Source organism: Homo sapiens, chromosome X (genome assembly GCF_000001405.40).
Source record: "Homo sapiens chromosome X, GRCh38.p14 Primary Assembly".
NCBI lineage: Eukaryota > Metazoa > Chordata > Mammalia > Primates > Hominidae > Homo > Homo sapiens.
This window is the reverse complement of record NC_000023.11, coordinates 101,898,044-101,916,860: the sequence shown is the minus strand read 5'-3', so window position 1 is coordinate 101,916,860 and position 18,817 is coordinate 101,898,044. Positions and strand designations below refer to the sequence as shown.

Below are 18,817 nucleotides of genomic sequence, written 5' to 3'. Positions count from 1 at the left end.
TGTTCCATTGGTCTATGTGTCTGCTTTTATGCCAGTACCACACTGTTTTGGTTACTTTAGCTCTGTAGTATAATTTGAAGTCAGGCAATGGAGGAACAATTCCTCCAGTTTTGTTCTTTTTACTTAGGATAACTTTGGCTATTCTGGGTCTTCTGTAGTTCCATATAAATTTTGAGATTTTTTTTCTATCTCTGTGAAGAATGTCATTGGTGTTTTGATAGGGATTGCTTTGAATCTGTAGATTGCTTTGGGTCCTATGGAGATTTTAACAATATTGATTCTTCCAATCCATGAACATGGAATATTTTTCTATTTTTTGGTGTCCTCTTCAATATAATTCATCAGTGTTTTACAGTTTTCATTACAGAGATCTTGCATTTCTTTGCTTAAGTTAATGCCTAGGTATTTAATTTTATGTGTGACTATTGTAAATTGGATTATTTTTTAAATTTTTTAAATTTTACTTTAAATTCCAGAATACAAGTGCAGAACATGTAGGTTTGTTACATAGGTATATATGTGCCATGGTTTGCTGGACCTATCAACCCATCATCTAGGTTTTAAGCCCTGCATGTATTAGCTATTTGCCCTAATGCTCTCCCTCCTTTCGCCCCCACCCCCCAACTGGCCCCGATGTGTGTTATTCCCCTCACTGTGTCCGTGTGTTCTCATTATTCAACTCCCACTTATGAGTGAGAAATGCGGTGTTTGGTTTTCTGTTCATGTGTTAGTTTGCTGAGGATTATGGCTTCCAGCTTCATCCATGTCCCTGCAAAGAACATGATCTCATTCCTTTATGTGGCTGCATAGTATTCCATGGTGTATATGTACCACATTTTCTTTATCCAGTCTATCATTGATGGACATTTGGGTTGGTTCCATGTCTTTGATGTTGTAAATAGTGCTGCAGTAAACATACATGTGCATGTGTCTTTACTGCAGAATGATTTATAATCCTTTGGCTATATATCCAGTAATGGGATTTCTGGGTCAAATGGTATTTCTCGTTCTAGATCCTTAAGAATCACTGCACTGTCTTCCACAATGGTTGAAATAATTTGCATTCACACCAATAGTGTAATAGTGTTCCTATTTCTCCACAGCCTCGCCAGCATCTGTTGTTTCTTGACTTTTTAGTAATCACCATTATGACTGGCATGAGATTAAAACTATGGAATGCTTCATGAATTTGTGTGTCATCCATATGCAGGGGCCATGCTAATTTTCTCTGTATCATTCCAGTTTTAGTATATGTGCTGCTGAAGTAAGCATTTGAGTTATTTTTTAGTTTCTTTTTCAGATTGTTCATTGTTGGCATATAGAAATGCTAGTCCTTTTTGTATGTTGATTTTGTTTCCTGAAAATTTACTGATTTTGTTTATCAGTTCTAATAGTTTACTTGTGGAGTCTATAGGTTTTCCCAAGTATAAGGTCATATCATCATCTGCAAACAAGGATAATTTGACTTCTTCCTTTCCCATTTGGATGCCCTTTATATATATATATATATTTTTTGTTTGATTGCTCTAGCTAGGACTTCTAGTACTATGCTGAATAACAGTTTTGACACTGGGCATCCTTGTCAAGTTCCAGATCTTAGAGTAAAACCTTTCAGTTTTTGCCCATTCATTGCAATACTAGCTGTGGGTCTGTAGTATAAGGCTTTTATTATGTTGAAGTATGTTCCATCTATCCCCAGTTTTTTGAGGATTTTTATCACAAAGGAATGTTGAATTATATCAAATGCTTTGTCAGCATCAATTGAAATGATCATATGGTTTTTAATCCTTTATTATTATGATGTATCTCATTGATTAATTTGTATATGTTGAACCATCCTTGCATCCCGGGAAAAACATCCTACTAGGTCATGATGAATGATCGTTCTAATGTAGTGTTGAATTCTGTTTGCTATATTTTGTTGAGGATTTTTGCATCAATATTCATCAGAGATCTTGGCCTGTAGTTTTCTTTTTTGGATGTCTCTTTGTCTGTTTTTGGTATCAGGGTAATACTGGCATCATAGAATGAGTTTGGAAGTATTGCTTCCTCCTCTGTTTTTCAGAATAGTTTTAGTAGGATTGGTCGTAGTTCTTTAAATGTTTACTAGAATTTAGCAATTAGGTCCCGGGCTTTTCTTTACTGAGAATTTTTTTTTATTATGGCTTCTATCTCATTACTTGTTATTGGCCTGAATGGTTCTGGATTTCTTCCTGGTTCAATTTCAGTAAGCTGTATCTATCAAGGAATTTGTCCATTTCCTCTAGATTTTCCAAATTACTGGCATATAGTTGCTCATAGTAGACACTAATGATCCTTTGAATTTCTGCGGTATCAGTTGTAATGTCTCCTTTTTCATTTCTGATTTGATATATTTGGATCTTCTTGCTTTTTTTCTTAGTAGTCTGGCTAATGGTTTGTCAATTTTGTTGAACTTTTCAAAAAAAACCCAGCTTTTTGTTTCATTGGTCTTTTGTATTGTATTTTTAATTTCAATTTCATTTATTTCTGCTTGATATTTATTATTTCTTTTGTTCTACTAATTTGGGGGTTGTTTTGCTGTTTTTTTCTAGTTCTTTCAGATCCATCATTTGATTATTTACTTGAAGTTTTTCTAAACTCTTTTTAAATGTAGAGACTTATAGCTATAAACTTCCCTCTGAGTACTGCTTTTGCTGTATTCCATAGGTTTTGGCATGTTGTGTTTCTACTGTTATTTGTTTCAAGAAATTTTTCAATATCCTTCTTAATTTCTTCATTGAGCCACTGGTTATTGAGGAGCATATTGTTTAATTTCCATGTATTTGTATAGTTTTCAAAATTCCTATTATTATTGATTTCTAGTTTTATTCCATTGTGGTTCGAGAAGATGCTTGATATTATTTCAGTTTTTTGAGAGTTTTAAGAGTTATTTTGTGACCTAACATATGGTCTATTCTTGAGAAAGACCTATGTGCTAAGGAAAAGAATGTGTATTCTGCGGTTGTTGCATGACATGTTCTGTAAATATCTGTTAGATCCATTTCATCCGTAGTGCAGATTACATCTGCTGTTTCTTTGTTGACTTTCTGTCTGGAAGATCTTTCTAAAGCTGAAAGTGGGGTGTTGAAGTCTCCAGCTGTTACTGTATTGGGGCCTATCTCTCTCTTTCACTTGAGTAATATTTCCTTTATATATCTGGGCACTGCAGTGTTGGGTGCATATCTATTTAAAATTGTTATGTCCTCCCTCTGGCTGAACTGACCCCTTTATCATCATATAGTGTCCTTCTTTGTCTCTTCTTACAGTTTTGGTCTTGAAATCAATTTTGTCTGATCTAAGTATAGTGACTCCTGTTCTGTTTTAGTTTCATTGGCATGGAATGTCTATTTCTATCCTTTCATTTTCAGTCTGTGTGTCTGTATAGGTAAAGTATGTTTCCTCTAGGCAACAGATCAGTGGGTCTTGTTTTTTCATCCATTCAGTGAGTCAGTGTCTTTTGATGGGGAAGTTTAGTCCATTTACCTTCAGTATTATTATTGATAAGTAAGGACTTAGTTCTTCCCTTTTGATTTTTGTTTCCTGGTTGTTTTGTGGTCTTCTCTTCCTTCTTTCTTTCATTTCTGTCTTCCTCTAGTGAAGATGATTTTCTCTGATAATATGATTTAATTTCTTGCTTTTTATTTTTAGTGTATCTATTGTATGTTTTTTGGTTTGAGGTTCCCATGAGGCTTGCAGATACCTTCTTATAACTTACAACTCATTATTTTAAACTGCTAACAACTTAACACTATTTACATGAACAAGCAAAAAGAAAACTAATAAAAACTCACCTTAACTTCATCCCCCCACTTTTTTTTTCTAACATGAATTTGCTATTGCTTATAAGATGATGGTTTAACAAAGGAAAAATCTCCCTTTTTGTAAAACAAATATCTGTGTTGCTAATGCGAGTTCTGCAGAGAAATGTAGAGGGAGAACAGAGCAGTAAAAGCCATCTCAAAGTCAGTGAGACTCTATGGAAGCAGCTTTACATTTTGAGTCTTCCCATACAAAGCTTTTCAGTCTCATTGTATATAAAGATTAATTGCAAAAATAATGCAGGGATAACTAAAAACCTGTTTATAGTACACTGATACTTTGTCATATGGAATTCCAATCTGTAACTGGCTGCCATGTACCCTGATCAAACAATATACACACAAACCAGACAGCTTTTTACTGAGACAGTCAGTATCCATAGTGATTCCATAAAGATGCCACTCTCATTTCTGGAACACTCTGCCATATTGTCATTTGGGAATGAATATCAGAGTCAACCTGCACCGTTCATAAGCACTTCCCCCCCACCCAAAAATGTAATGTGCAATAATGGCTAATTCTGACTTCATTTGGTTCTTGTATATATGAAAGGCATTTGTTGGATTTCTCACCAATTTGAACATCTCTGGTTTGGAATACGGTGAATCCTTGGACAAAAGCTTTCCCTGGATCCACTACACTTGTTCCATTTCTGTTTTGTAGGTTCTATAATGTAGCACTAATGGGTGTTCGAGGCTGAAGGTCATGAGTGTTGATTATTTCCACATTTCCCTACTATTTGGATGCAGGGATGGATGACCTAGAGCTTGGTGGTCCCATGGTCATTTCCCATCAGTGTGAACTCTCTGAGGGTGTCTGAGGGGAGTGCTGTGTGAAAAGGCTTTTGTATGAATATACGTTTCTCATGTGTATGATTGAGTCAAATCTAGAAAAGGATGAGCTATGGCTTAAGGTCTTCCCATGTCCCCAGCACATGTGGAGTGGGTTTATCCAGTGTGAATTCTCTGGTGCTTGGTAAGGGAGGAGCTGTGTGTAAGGGCCTTTCCACAGTCCCTGCACACATATGGCTTCTCTCCTGTGTGGATCCTCCGGTGCTGAGTGAGGTGGGTGCTCTGCCTAAAGGACTTTCCGCAATCGTGACACCCATGGGACTTTTCCCCAGTGTGCGTCCTTTCATGCTGGCTGAGCAAGGAGCTGTGGCTGAAGGATTTCCCACACTCATTGCACCGATAGGGCTTTTCCTTGGTGTGAATCCTCTGGTGTTCGATGAGACGGGAGCTCTGGCCGAAGGCTCTGCCACACTGGTTACATTCATAGGGTTTCTCTCCTGTGTGGATCCTCTGATGCTGAATGAGGGGAGCAAGCTGGCTGAAGGCTCTGCCACACTGGTTGCATTCGTAGGGCTGGCTTCTCCCCAGCGTGGATTCGCTAATGTTTGGTGAGGGACAAGCTGTGACTGAATGCCTTGCTACAGTCATTGCATTCATAGGGCTTCTCCCCTGTGTGGATTCGCTGTTGTTGGGTGAGGTGACTTTTTAACTTTTTGTTGTTTTTACTTATATCTTACTGTACTATGTCTTGAAAAGTTGTAGTTATTCTTTTTGATTGGTTCATTATTCAGTCTTTCTACTTAGGATAAGAGTAGTTTATACACCTCTGTTATAGTATTATAATATTCTGTGGTTTTCTGTGTATTTACTATTACTAGTGAGTTTTGTACCTTCAGGTGATTATTTATTGCTCATTAATGTCCCTTTCTTTCTGGTTGAAGTACTTCCTTTAGCATTTCTTTTAGCACAGGTCTGGTATTGATGAAATCCGTCAGCATTTGTTTGTCTTGGAAAGTACTTCTCCTTCATGTTTAAGGGATATTTTCACTGAATATACTATTCTAGGGTAAAAGGGCTTTTTTTTTCTTTAGCATTTAAATATGTGATGCCACTCTCTTCTATCCTGTAAGGTTTCCATTGAAAAGTCTGCTGCCTGACATATTGGAGCTCCATTGTATGTTATTTTTTTCTTTTCTCTTGCTGTTTTTAGGATCCTTTCTTTATTCTTGACCTTTGGGTACTTGATTATTAAATGCCTTGGGGTAGTCGTCTTTGAATTAAATCTGCTTGGTGTTCTATAATGTTCTTGTACTTGGATATTGATATCTTTATCTAGATTTCAGAAGTTCTCATTATTATCCCTTTGAATAAGCTTTCTACCTAATTTCTTTCTCTACCTCCTCTTTCAGGCCAACAACTCATAGATTTGCCTTTTTCAATCTATTTTCTAGTTCCTGTAGGTGTGTGTCATTGTTTTTTATTCTTTTTTCTTTTGTCTCCTCTGTGTATTTTCAAGTAGCCTATCTTCAAGCTCACTAATTCTTTCTTCTGCTTTATCTGTTCTGCTATTAAAGGACTCTGATTCATTCTTCAGTATGCCAGTTGATTTTTCAGCTCCAGTATTTCTGCCTGATTCTTTTTAATTATTTCAATCTCTTTGTTAAATTTATCTGATACAATTCTGAATTCCTTCTCTCTGTTATCTTGAATTTCTTTGAGTTTCCTCAACACAGCTACTTTGAATTCTCTCTGTGAAAGTCCACATGTTTCTGTTTCTCCAGGATTGGTCCCTGGTGCCTTTTTAAGTTTATTTGGTGAGGTCATGTTTTTCGGAATGGTGTTGATGCTAGTAGATGTTCTTTGGTGTCTGGGCATCAAAGAGTTAGGCATTTAATGTAGTCTTCACTGTCTGGGCTTATTTGTAGCTGTCCTTCTTGTGAAGGCTTACCAGATATTTGAAAGGACCTGGGTGTTGTGATCTAAGCTGTGTCTTCTTTCTGGGGCACCCAGGCCCTGTAACACTGTGGTTCTCGCAGACTCATAGAGGTGCTGCCCTGATGGTCTTGAACATGATCTGGGAGAATTCTCTATATGACCAGGCAGATACTCTTTTTCTCTTACCTTACTTTCTCCCAAACTTACAGAGTCTCTGTCTGTTCTGAGTCACCTAAATCAGGGGATGGATTGACAGAAGCATCCCTGTGGCCACCACCACTGTGACTATGCTGGGTCACACCTGAAGCCAGCACAGAGCTGAGTCTTGCCTAAGGCCCATTGTAACCACTCCCTTACTACTGCCTATGTTTTCTCAAGGCCCTGGGGCTCTACAATCCACAAGTAGCAAAGCCAGCCAGGCCTGTGCCTTTCCTTTCAGGGTGGCGAGGTCCCCTAATCTCTGGGTGAGTCTAGAAGTGTTGTTTGGGAGTCAGCGACTAGAGTTAAAAAAACCTTAGAAGTCTACCTGGTATTCTATTGTATTGCAGCTGAGCTGGTACTCAAACCACAAGACTCAGTCTTTCTTATCCTTCCTTCACTTTCCAAAGGCAGAGTAGCCTCACCCCATAGCCACGGCCACCCCTGGCCACAAGGCAAGGTGTACTGCCAGATTACCACTGGTGTTCCCTTAAGGCACAGGGGCTCTTAAGTGCACTTGTGAATGCTGCCTGGCTTGGGACTCACATTTCAGCGCTGTGAGCTCGCCTCTGGCCCAGGGCAGTCCCAGAAATGCTGTCCAACAGTCAACTCTAGAATCAGGGACCCCAGGAGCCCGCTTGATGCCCTACCCCACTGTGGTGGTGTTGGTACCTAAGGGGTAAGACAAAGTCCTCTTTACTTTTCCCTCTGCTTTTCTAAAGGAGAAGGAGTTTTGCCCCATAGCACCACAGCTGGTAATTTGCTGAGCCCCACCTGAAGCCAGCAAGTGTCAGAGGCTCAACAAGGCCCTCAAGGTAGTTCCTGGGTATCACTGCTGGTTATTCAGGTCCCAAGGGCTCTTCAGTTAGCAGATGATGAACGCTGTAAGGATTGGGTCCTTTCCTTCAAGTCAGGGAATACCTTTCTGGCTCAGGGTGTGTCTTGAAATGTCATCTGGGAGCTATGGCCTGGAACAGGGTCCTCACAGCTCTGACTGGTGCTCTATCCTTGTGTGGCTGAGCTGGTAACCAAGATGCAAGGCAAAGTCCTCTCCTCTCTTACCTCTCCTCTCCTCAAGCAGAAGGAAGAGGTCTCTTTTGGAGCCTCAAACCATGTAGCCTGGGATTAAGGGAGGGGTGATTTCAGTCCTTCCTTGGCTGCCCCAGCTGGTGTCTCAGTATGTCATGTGCCCTGCCCCCTCACCCCAGTCCACTGTCTCTGGGCCTAGTTCAGCCCTAGGACTCGCCTACGAATTGCGGTACCTATTGCCTAGACTGCCTTTCAGGTTTACTTAGAGACTGAGAGCACTTTGGCCCTCAGAGGTAAGGTTTGCAGACACTCAACTTTGAACCACTGGGATGAACAACTCCTCTCTGGCTAGGGCTGGTTTAAATGATCCTTCCCTGGTTGGGTACCAGCTGAGTTTGGTCTGCTTTTCCTTTCTGCTCTAACAGGATAGCACCGAGTTCACTGCCTAAGAATTGCTGTGTTCTCCCTTCCAGCATCCAGAAATGCTCTCTGCACCAGGCTGCAGCTGCAGGGATGGGGGAGGGGTGGCATCAGCTATTCAGGACCTTTTTTTTTCTATCTCTTAAGTGCCTCTTTCAGTGATCTGAAGTTAAAATTGGGTGCTTTGAGCTCTCACCTGATTTTTGGTTCTTGTGAAGGTATTTTTTTCTGTGTAGATAGTTGTTAACTTGGTGTCCTTGTGGGGTTGGGGGACAATCAGTAGAGCTTTCTGTTCTGCCATCTTGCTTTGCCTTCTATATTTACTTATTCGTATTAAAGATTTTAATGGATGGGAAGTTCAAGATTATACCACTATGCTCAATTTGCACGTAGTAGTTAATCCTGAAAAAGGGAAGTCATGAAATGCATTTTAATTAACTTATTTACACTGCTGATGTTAGAATCGAAGTTAGATAAATCACATATTCTAAAACAATCTCAAAAATAATTGAGGTGATACTATATGTAGTAGAGATAAATTTGTAACTATTCATTGTTATTTTTTACACGTTTCTAGTTACATTTATTCTTGAGTATGCACTTTTAAAAGTAAGCCTTTTTAGTCCATGTAATGATATTGAAAATTAACTTAGGTGAAGATATCTAACATAACTTTTAAAATAAATATCTTCAACGGTTTCTATCTAATATAGGTATAGGTATAGGTACTCCTGCTCTGTTTTAGTTTTTCCTTTTCATTCTTTTCTTTTTTTTTCCTCTTACGGTATATTTTCAAATAGCTTATCTTTGAGTTCATAGATTATTTCTTTTGCCTGATCAATTCTGAGGTTGATGCTATTACATTTTTCATTTCATTCATTGTATTTTTAAGCTCCAGAATTTATTTGATACTTTTAAAATATAATTTCAGTCCCTCTGTTAAATGTCTAATTTGATCATTTATTGTTTTCTTGATTTCATTAAATTCTCTATTTTTTTGAAGTTCATTGAGATTTCTAAAAACAGTTATTTTGAATCTTTGTCAGACCGTTTGTATAGAGGTTAGCTACTAAGAAACTGTGTTCTTGTGGTGGTGCTATGTCTCTTGGTTTTTCATGTTTCTCATTGCCTTACATTAATGTCTGCACATTTAAAGAAACGTAAGGACTTATTCCAATTTTTGCAGACTTAATTTTTCTGGGAAAGCCCTTCACCAGTCAGCCCATCCAGAGATTCCCGGGCAGGCCATCTGGTATGATCCCTGATACGCTTGCTGGCCCTGGTATCTGGGTCTTCAGGGTTGGGCCTGAAGCCTGAATCCACTGGGATGGACCTGTTGATTGGGTCTTGAGGAATGGACCTACAGCCTGTGTTGACGAGGGCAGGCCTGGAGCCTGTATCCACAGGAGCCAACCTGCCAACCTGAAGCCTGGTCCACAGGGGCTCACCTGGTGCTGGGGTAGGCCTTGAACCTGAGTCTATAGGAGATGGCTGAACACTGGATGGGCCTGACACCTAGGTCCACTGGCATGGGCCTGGAGCTTGAGTCCATGGAGGCTAGCCTAGCACTGGGGTGTCTTGGATTATTGAAATGATCACTGAGGTGCCTGGTTCCTGGGATCACTGAGATAGACCTGGAGCCTGAGTCTGCAGGGGTGGTCTTGGAGCCTCAGTCCAAGGGGTCCTGCCTGGTACTGGGGTCTACAGGAGTGGGCATGGACCCTGGGTCTTCTAGAATAAGCCTGGAGCCTGGGTCCTCTGGAGCCTGGGGCCTGGTGCTGAGACCAGTGTGGAACTTGTAACCAGAGTCTCATCTGGAGTCCAGGATTGTGGATGCTAGCCCAATGCCTGGAGCTACTTGGGCTGGCCTGGAGCCTGAGTCTGCAGAAGCAAGCCTGGAGGCTGGGTGTGCAAGGGCTAGCTTAGAGGCTAGGTCCCTGGGGGCTAATGTGGGTCTTGGAGCCACAGGGCCAGCCTGGGACCTGGGCACACAGGGATGGTCCTGGCACCTGGGTCCACGGGGGCAAGCCGAGCACTGTGGTCTACTGGAACTGGCCTGGGTGGGCCCTGGGTCTGCTGGAACACTGAGATGCAGGAGCTCCAGCAAGAGCTACAGGTGCCAGCCTGGAGGGCAGGGCTGTGGGATCCTGCCTGGTTCTGGGGTGGGACTGGAGGCTCAGTCTGTGGGTACCAGCCTCTTGGGGCCTATATTAGCTCCCTCCAGGGGCTGGCCTGGAGGCTGAGTCTGCAGGTGCCAGCCTTATGACTAGGGCTGTGGGAGTTGGCCGGGTGCTGGAGCTGACCCTGGCCTGAAGCCAGGAGCCTTGGGAGCTAGTCCAATGCTGGAGATGGTCGAGGACATGGTACTGCTGAGGTTGGCCTGATGTTGGAGTAACCTGGAGACCAAGTCCACTGTGCAGGCCTGGAGCTTGGGGTTGAATGATTCGGCTTGGCACTGGAGCAGGCCTGGAGGCTGAGTCCACTGGTACTGTCCTGAAGTCTGGGGCTGTGGGGGCCTTCCTAGCACTGGATATTACTGGGGTGGGTCCAGTTTTGGAGTTGGAATTAAAGTTCAGTGCTCACTTCCCTCTCCTTCTCTCACACAGAGGGTATCTCTCTCCACTCTATGCTGGGCTTGGTAGGGGGCTGATGCTGATAGTGTAAAACTCTCTTTCCTACCTTCTTGAATGCACCTTATTTCTGTGCTACACCCAGGTGCTGATATAATCTCCTACATATTTGTTTTTTTTTTTTTTTTTAGTTTTTTGGCTCTTGTGAAGATATTTTCATTTGTGGATAGTTATTTTAATTGATGTTTCTGTAGAGAGATGAGTGCTGAAGAGTCCTATTCTACCATCTTGATGATGTCCGTCCTAATAGTTTTTTAATTAGAAAGTCCTGCATTCTTTTCTGCAAAAATTAAGACAGTTGTACAGAAAGTTAAACATTAAGTTGTCTCTCCTTGTTCCTTTTCTAGGCCTACCTACCAGAGTTAACCATTTTTAAATTCGGTTTATTTTATTCCAGATTTTTCTGTGCATATATGTGCATATATTTAATTTTTGTTAGTATTGGGAATTGGATGTATTGTATTTGTTCTACAGCTTTTTATTCATTTAATAAGCAATTGGCATCTCTCTGTGAAAGCATGTGTACCAACTTATTCACTTTGATAGCCAAATAGCAATGAGAATTTTGATGTTTGTGACTCATACTGTATAAAAAATGGATAAACTTTGGCAGAATACATTGTAATTCTTAAGAATTTTAGATGACACTATAGACCTCAAGTGTAAATGCAGAAAGTTTTGGCATGTCCCCTTATTTATTACAGTGAGAAACACTATAGCATACATTTCTAGATATGTATATGAACATTACATTATAGCTTTGAGAGGCTTGTGTGAGACTTGTTTGGCCACATTAGTAGGCTAGTGTTTGTACAATGATGAAGGATGTTTGCCCACTATGGGCAAAGATAGTTTGTGGTTCCTTGTGATTTCTAGATAACATTGAAGGCATAGCTTCATGTTTCTTGGACCTGTAAAATGAGAGTGGTAAAAATCTCTTGATTCTTAACGAGAATCCTGTGACAAATGACAGTCCTAAAACAAAGCATTTCTTAGGATTGTCTGCTGTTAAACATAAAATATCAAGGCTGTTTTTTGTTTGTTTGGTTGGTTTTCAGGTTTGTTTTTTGTTTGTTTGTTTGAAACAGTGTCTTGCTGTAGCTCAGGCTGGAAGGCACAATCATAGCTCACTGCAGCCTCGACCTCCTGGGCTCAAGTGATCATCTCAGCCTCCGGAGTAGCTAGGACCACAGGCGCATGCCACCATGCCCAGCTAATTTTTATTTCTAATTTTTTTTTTAGAGATTGTGTCTTGCTATGTTGCCCAGGCTGTTCTCAAACTCCTGACCTCAAGTGGTCCTCCTACCTCAGCCTCCCAAAGTGCTGGGATTACAGGCATGAGCCACCGCACCTGGCCAAGGCTGGGTTTTTAAATCCAGCCTTTAATTACTGGTGTCCCAAGTCATTCCATGAAGCTCATGAAGTTACTGGTGCCCCCATAATGATTCCTTTAGAATGCCATTGCCTAGACTTATCATACTAAAATAACTCTTGCCATATCTGACATTAGAGGGATACTTAGTATGTGCATATTAAATTGCACACTCGAACAAAAAGCTGTTACTGTAGCCTCACAAGCACTCAAATTTGAAGTATCATATGAAATCATATATAGTTGAGGAATGAAAAATGATACCTCTAAATATTTATTAATGTGATATATTTGTCTTCCCTTTTTTATTCACAGACGCCATTTGGAATGAACAGGAAAAGGCTGAACTTTTTACAGATAAGTTTTGTCAAGTATGTGGAGTGATGCTACAGTTTGAATCACAAAGAATTTCACATTATGAGGTAGGTTAAAAATAATGGAAGTAGGGTCTAAAGCAGGTTTTTAAATGTAGCAAGTAAACTTCCTGTAAGTCATCTTACTTGATTCTTATGAGAATCCTGTGAAAAAGGTAGTAGTATTTTCCTTTGATGGATGAGGAGATTGGCTCAGAAAGGGATGGTAATATACTACTTTAAGTTTGGGGAATTCAGATTTAAACTCAGTCTTTTACTCCAAAGCTTGTTTTCTTCTCTTCACACCACTCCCTTTGCATCCATCAAGCCATCCACCCTTGTATTAAATATAAGTGAGGCATTATGAAGCTTGCATAGGAAACTATTAATGTGAATCAAGGGATATTATGTAGAACTCCCAGAGTCTTCCTTAACAGCAAATGAAGACTATAAAAACAAAACGAACCAGTCTTGCACTTGATTGAACCACATGTTTTTAGACACAGGAATGTAGAATCCTAGAGCTAAAATAGAGAATGTTTAATGTCCTTACTCTCTTAGTTTATAGATTAGAAAACTGAGACCAAGAGGATTAATACTTCTCCATGGCTAATCACTGGTATGACTAAGCCTAAAAATGATTTCTTCTTATTTCATATCCAGTGTTCTTTCCCTTCATTTGGTGTTGCTTCATGTTTCTACATTATCTGATGAGCTGTTGGATTTCTTTCATATCTGGTATCTAGGTTACCAAAAATACTAGATACATTCATTTAAAACTAATGTAATGCCAGTTCTACTTTTTTAAACATCTCATCTTGTTCTTCCCATTGCTAATCTTATTGGTAATTATATTTTAATCCTAATGTTGGTTGAAATTAATTTACTATAATTACAGATAGGGAAATTGTGTGACTGTGGATTGAGAGGAGGTAGGGTTAAGTCTTAATTCCACCATTGACTAGTTACATAAGCTTTGGCAAGTCACTTTACCTTTCTGAGCATGTTTCTTGGACCTGTAAAGTGAGAGTGGTAAAAACCTCTTACTATACTTGTGAGAATTAAGTGAAATCAAATGTGTGAGAGTGCCTAGCACATCTTTAGACTCCATAGATCAAAGATTTAGAATTAGTAACAGAGACAGACAGTCAAGGGGCTCTGTGATAACTACAATTTATCCATTTGGACCATTTTAATTTATATTGGAAAAACAGCTTTTTATGGAATCATAAAGCACTATTCAGTCTAGAAAATAGGCAAAAATACAAGAAAATAGATATAAATTATAATTCTATCACTTGTAGTTAACCATTATTGAATTTCTCTTTTGCTTCTGTGATTCCAATATGATTTCTGAACACACACACACACATATACACATGCATTTTTACAAAAAAGATATACAGACTCTCAGTATAGTATTGTAAAATATAACAGTATTGCAGAAGTTTTGAATTTTAATGAGGTTGTATTTATTAATATTTCTTTTGTGTCTGTGCTTATGTGTTTAATAAACCATTCTATACACTTTTGTCATATACTTTCCTCTATTTTCTTCTAAAACTTTGAAGATTTACTTCTTATGTTATAATTCATCTGGTATTGATTTTCGTGTATGGAGGGTGACAACAGGTTTTTCATATGGATAGCCAGTTGTTCCAGCACTATTTATTGTATAGTCCACCCTTACCTCATTGATTTGTAGTGGCACCTCTATTGTATGCTAATTTCCACATATATATTGGTTTGTTTTGAGGCTTTTATCCTGTTTTATTGTATTAGCCTGGTTTCCTATATCTACAACAATTTCACCTTTAAAATAAGTCACAGCTTTCAAATGAGTCACAATATCTGTAGAAGAAATTTATATGACATTAAAAATTTTTAAATCATAAACTAAATTAAAAATATATGCCACACATTAGTTGATATCTATAACCTATATAACTAACGAAGGATTCGTGTCTAGAATACAGAAAGGACTACAAATCAATTAGAACAAGAAGCAAATAGAAAAATGGGAAAGTGATGTGAACAGTCCATAGAATAGATACTCAGCTTCACTAGTGATCACACAGGACATGCAAGTTAAAATAATAAACTATCATATAAGAACCATAATACTGGCAAAAATTAAAATCTAATAACACTTAACACTTCAAGATAATATAGGGAAACACTCTCATTGCTGCATTTGGAGATGTAAACTGCTTCAAAATTTTATACCTGGTAAAGTTGAAAATCCACACTCCTTATAGGCCAAGAATTCCACTTCTAGGTATCTATTCTAAAGGAACTTTTGAACATGTATATTGGGAGATCTATTTATATATGTTAATTGCAGCAATGCTTGTGTTAGCAAAATAAACTGAAACATAATTGTCCTAAACAGGGAACTGGATAGGTAGCATATGGAGTAGAATATTATAGCATGAATGAACTAGAGCTATATGTATCAATATCAATAAATCTCATAAATAAAATACTGAGTTTTAAAAAGCAATTTGGAAAGAATATGTATCAAATGATTCCACTTTTTATAATCAATTTTTACAAGATAGTAATATATAAAACTATTTATGGATATGTATGTGTAGTAAAGGAATAAAAGCATGAAAGGAAATCAGGTACACCAACTTTAAGAGAGAGAGAGGAAGAAAGGATTGTGAGCATGAGGGTATAGGATTATATCTGTAAAATTTTACCTCTTTTAAAGGAAATTTGAGAGAAATGCAACAAAGTGTTAAAACTGAATAGTGGGTATGGGTTTCGATTATATTGTTTCCTGTTCTTTCCTATACAATGGGTATATTTCACATTTTAAAATTATGTAGACCATCTATGACAAACCCACAGCTAATATAATACTGAATAGGGAAAAGTTGAAAGGCATTCCCTCTGAGGAATGGAACAAGACAAGGATGCCCACTCTCACCACTCCTCTTCAACATAGTACTGGAATTCCTAACCAGAGCAATCAGACAAAGAAAGAAATAAAGGGCATCCAAATCTGTAAAGAGGAAGTCAAACTGTCACTGTTTGCCGATGATATGATCGTTTACCTTGAAAACCCTAAAGACTCCTCCAGAAAGCCCCTAGAACTGATAAAAGAATTCAGCAAAGTTTCTGGATACAAGATTAATGTACACAAATCAGTAGCTCTTCTATACACCAACAGCGACCAAGCAGAGAATCAAATCAAGAACCCAACCCCTTTTACAATAGCTGCAAAGAAAAAAAAATTAGGAATATACCTAACCAAGGAGTCGAAAGATCTCTGTAAGGAAAACTACAAAACACTGCTGAAAGAAATCATAGATGACACAAACAAATGGAAACATATTCCATGCTCATGGATGGGTAGAATCAATACTGTGAAAATGCAATCTACAAATTCTGTGCCAAAAGCAATCTACAAATTCAGTGCAATCCCCATCAAAATACCACCATCATTCTTCACGGAATTATAAAAAACAATTCTAAACTTCATATGGAACCAAAAAAGAGCCCACATAGCCAAAGCAAGACTAAGCAAAAAGAACAAATCTAGAGGCATCACACTACCTGATTTCAAACTATACTATAAGGCCATAGTCACCAAAATAGAATGGTACTGGTTTAAAAATAGGCACATAGACCAATGGAACATAATAGATAACTCAGAAATAAACCCTAATACTTAAAGCCAACTGATCTTCAACAAAGCAAACAAAAATATCAGTTGGGGAAAGGACACCCTATTCAACAAATGGTGCTGGGAAAATTGGCTAGCCACATGTAGGAGAATGAAACCGGATCTTCATCTCTCACCTTATACAAAAATCAACTCAACATGGATTAAACACTTAAACCTAAGACTTGAAATTATAAAAATTCTGGATGATAACAATGGAAAAACCCTTCTAGATACTGGCTTAGGCAAGGATTTCATGACCAAGAACCCAAAAGCAAATGCAATAAGAACAAAGATAAATAGCTGAGACCTAATTAAACTAAAGAGCTTTTGCACACCAAAAGGAACAGTCAGCAGAGCAAACAGACAACCTACAGAGTGGGAGAAGATCTTCACAATCTATACATCTGACAAAGGACTGATATCCAGAATCTACAACAAACTCAAACAAATCAGTAAGAAACAAGCAATCCCATCAAAAAGTGGGCTAAGGACATGAATAGATGATTCTCAAAAGAAGATATGCAAATGGCCAACAAACACAAGAAAAAATGCTCCACGTCACTAATGATCAAGGAAATGCAAATCAAAACCACAATGCGATACCACCTTACTCCTGCAAGAATGGCCATAATCAAAAAAATCAAATAACAGTAGTGTTGGCGTGGATGTGGTGAACAGGGAACACTTCTACACTGCTGGTGGTAATATAAACTAGTACGGCCACTATGGAAAACATTGTGGAGATTCCTTAAATAACTAAGAGTAGAACTATCATTTCATCCAGCAATCCCACTACTGGCTATCTACCCAGAGAAAAAGAAGTTATTATTCAAAAAAGATGCTTGCACACGCATATTTATAGCAGCACAATTCACAATTGCAAAATCGTGGAACCAACGCAAATGCCCATCAATCACTGAGTGGATAAAGAAACTGTGGTATATATACACTGGAATACCACTCAGCCATAAAAAGGAATGAATTAGCAGCATTTTCAGTTATCTGGATGAGATTGGAGACCATTATTCTAAGTGAACTAACTCAGGAATGGAAAATCAAACATCGTATGTTCTCTCTGATATGTGGGAGCTAAGCTACGAGGATGCAAGGCATAAGAATGATGCAATGGACTTTGGGGACTTGGGGGGAAGAGTGGAAGGGAGGCGAGGAATAAAAGACTACAAATATGGCACAGTGTATACTGCTCGGGTGCTGGGTGCACTAAAACCTCACAAATCACCACTAAAGAACTTACTCATGTAACCAAATGCCACCTGTACCCTAATAACTTATGGAAAAGTATAATTAAATTAAATTTTAAAAATAAATAAAATTCTGTAGAGAGAGTGATTATCTCACATTATGTGCTCAGGAAATGTTAGTTTCCCTTCCCCCTACACCAACATCTTAGTTATTCTTACATATTTGGTTATATATTTGTTAGTGATTATTTCTAATGTCTCTTAAGCCCAGAAGGATTTCTTTTCTCACATAAAAGAATTTGCAAGGGAGGTAGTAGAGGGCTGATATGACAGCTTTATAACATTATCAGGGACCTAGGCATTTTTTTTTTGAGACAGAGTCTCTGTCGCCTAGGCTGGAGTGCAGTGGCGCAATCTCGGCTCGCTGCAACCTCCACCTCCCGGGTTCAAGTGATTCTCCTGCCTCAGCCTCCTGAGTAGCTGAGATTACAGGCGCACACCACCACGCCCAGCTAATTTTTGTATTTTTAGTAGAGACAGGGTTTCACATGTTGGTCAGGCTGGTCTCGAACTCCTGACCTTGTGATCCGCCCACCTCAGCCTCGCAAAGTGCTGGGATTACAGGCGTGAGCCACCACGTCTGGCGGGCATTTTCTGTCTTTCTGCTCTGATGAACTGGTTTTCCTCCTCAATGTCACCATGGTCCAAAGATGACTGTTGAAACTCCATCCTTTGTATCTTAATTCCAAAATCAGTAAGGAAGAAGGGTAGAATAAGGGCTTATGGCCCAGTCATTTAAGGAGGCTTCCCAGAGGTTCTACATAACACTTCAAATTATATCTTATTGACCAGAATCTAGTTACATGGATACATCTTGCTGAAAGGAAGGCTGAAAAACATAGTCTTTTAACTGGGTACATTGCTCAAGATCTGTAACTAAGTAAAAAGAAGATATTTGATATTGGGCAGCAATTAGGAATCCATTTCAAAAACAAGAATCTAAAAGTTATTGGCTTCTAAATTTAGCATTATTTTCATTTTAACTGACATTTAGAGATTTGAAATCATGTGAGTCTGTACCAAGTTTGACTAAATATATTAACACACATGAATGCCATCCTCAAATTCAGAAAGGTGTAAATTTTGAATGACTCTTTTATTGAATAAACAAAGTCATATTATATCTTTTTTCAGGGTGAAAAACATGCTCAAAATGTTAGTTTTTATTTTCAAATGCATGGGGAACAAAATGAAGTGCCTGGTAAGAAAATGAAGATGCATGTTGAGAATTTTCAGGTGAGTGATGTGTGTTGGTATTGTAATCCAAACTTTGAGTTATTGAATCTTTCTAACAAGATTGTGCCTATTTCA

At 38.8% G+C, this 18,817-nt stretch overlaps 1 protein-coding gene and 1 pseudogene across 8 annotated transcripts in view, besides 1 other annotated feature; one reads left to right on the top strand and one right to left on the bottom strand.

Annotated features, from left to right (window-relative positions):
* The window catches only part of ZMAT1 (zinc finger matrin-type 1), a 49,738-nt gene that overhangs the window by 15,167 nt on the left and 15,754 nt on the right, over positions 1-18,817 (top strand). For all 8 annotated transcript variants that reach the window (NM_001394560.1, XM_005262213.5, NM_001282401.2 and 5 more), the window contains 2 exons: positions 12,531-12,637; positions 18,641-18,742. In NM_001394560.1, the coding sequence (NP_001381489.1) occupies positions 12,531-12,637; positions 18,641-18,742 (209 nt within the window). The remainder of the gene's footprint in view (positions 1-12,530; positions 12,638-18,640; positions 18,743-18,817) is intronic.
* Positions 1,166-1,272, bottom strand: RNU6-345P (RNA, U6 small nuclear 345, pseudogene; annotated as a pseudogene).
* Positions 10,406-10,907: an enhancer, noted in NCBI's record as "H3K4me1 hESC enhancer chrX:101160927-101161428 (GRCh37/hg19 assembly coordinates)". NCBI's record gives its function as "activates a minimal SCP1, AML or CMV promoter by ChIP-STARR-seq in primed H9 embryonic stem cells {active_cell/tissue: H9 hESC(primed)}" and the evidence as "EXISTENCE:reporter gene assay evidence [ECO:0000049][PMID:30033119]".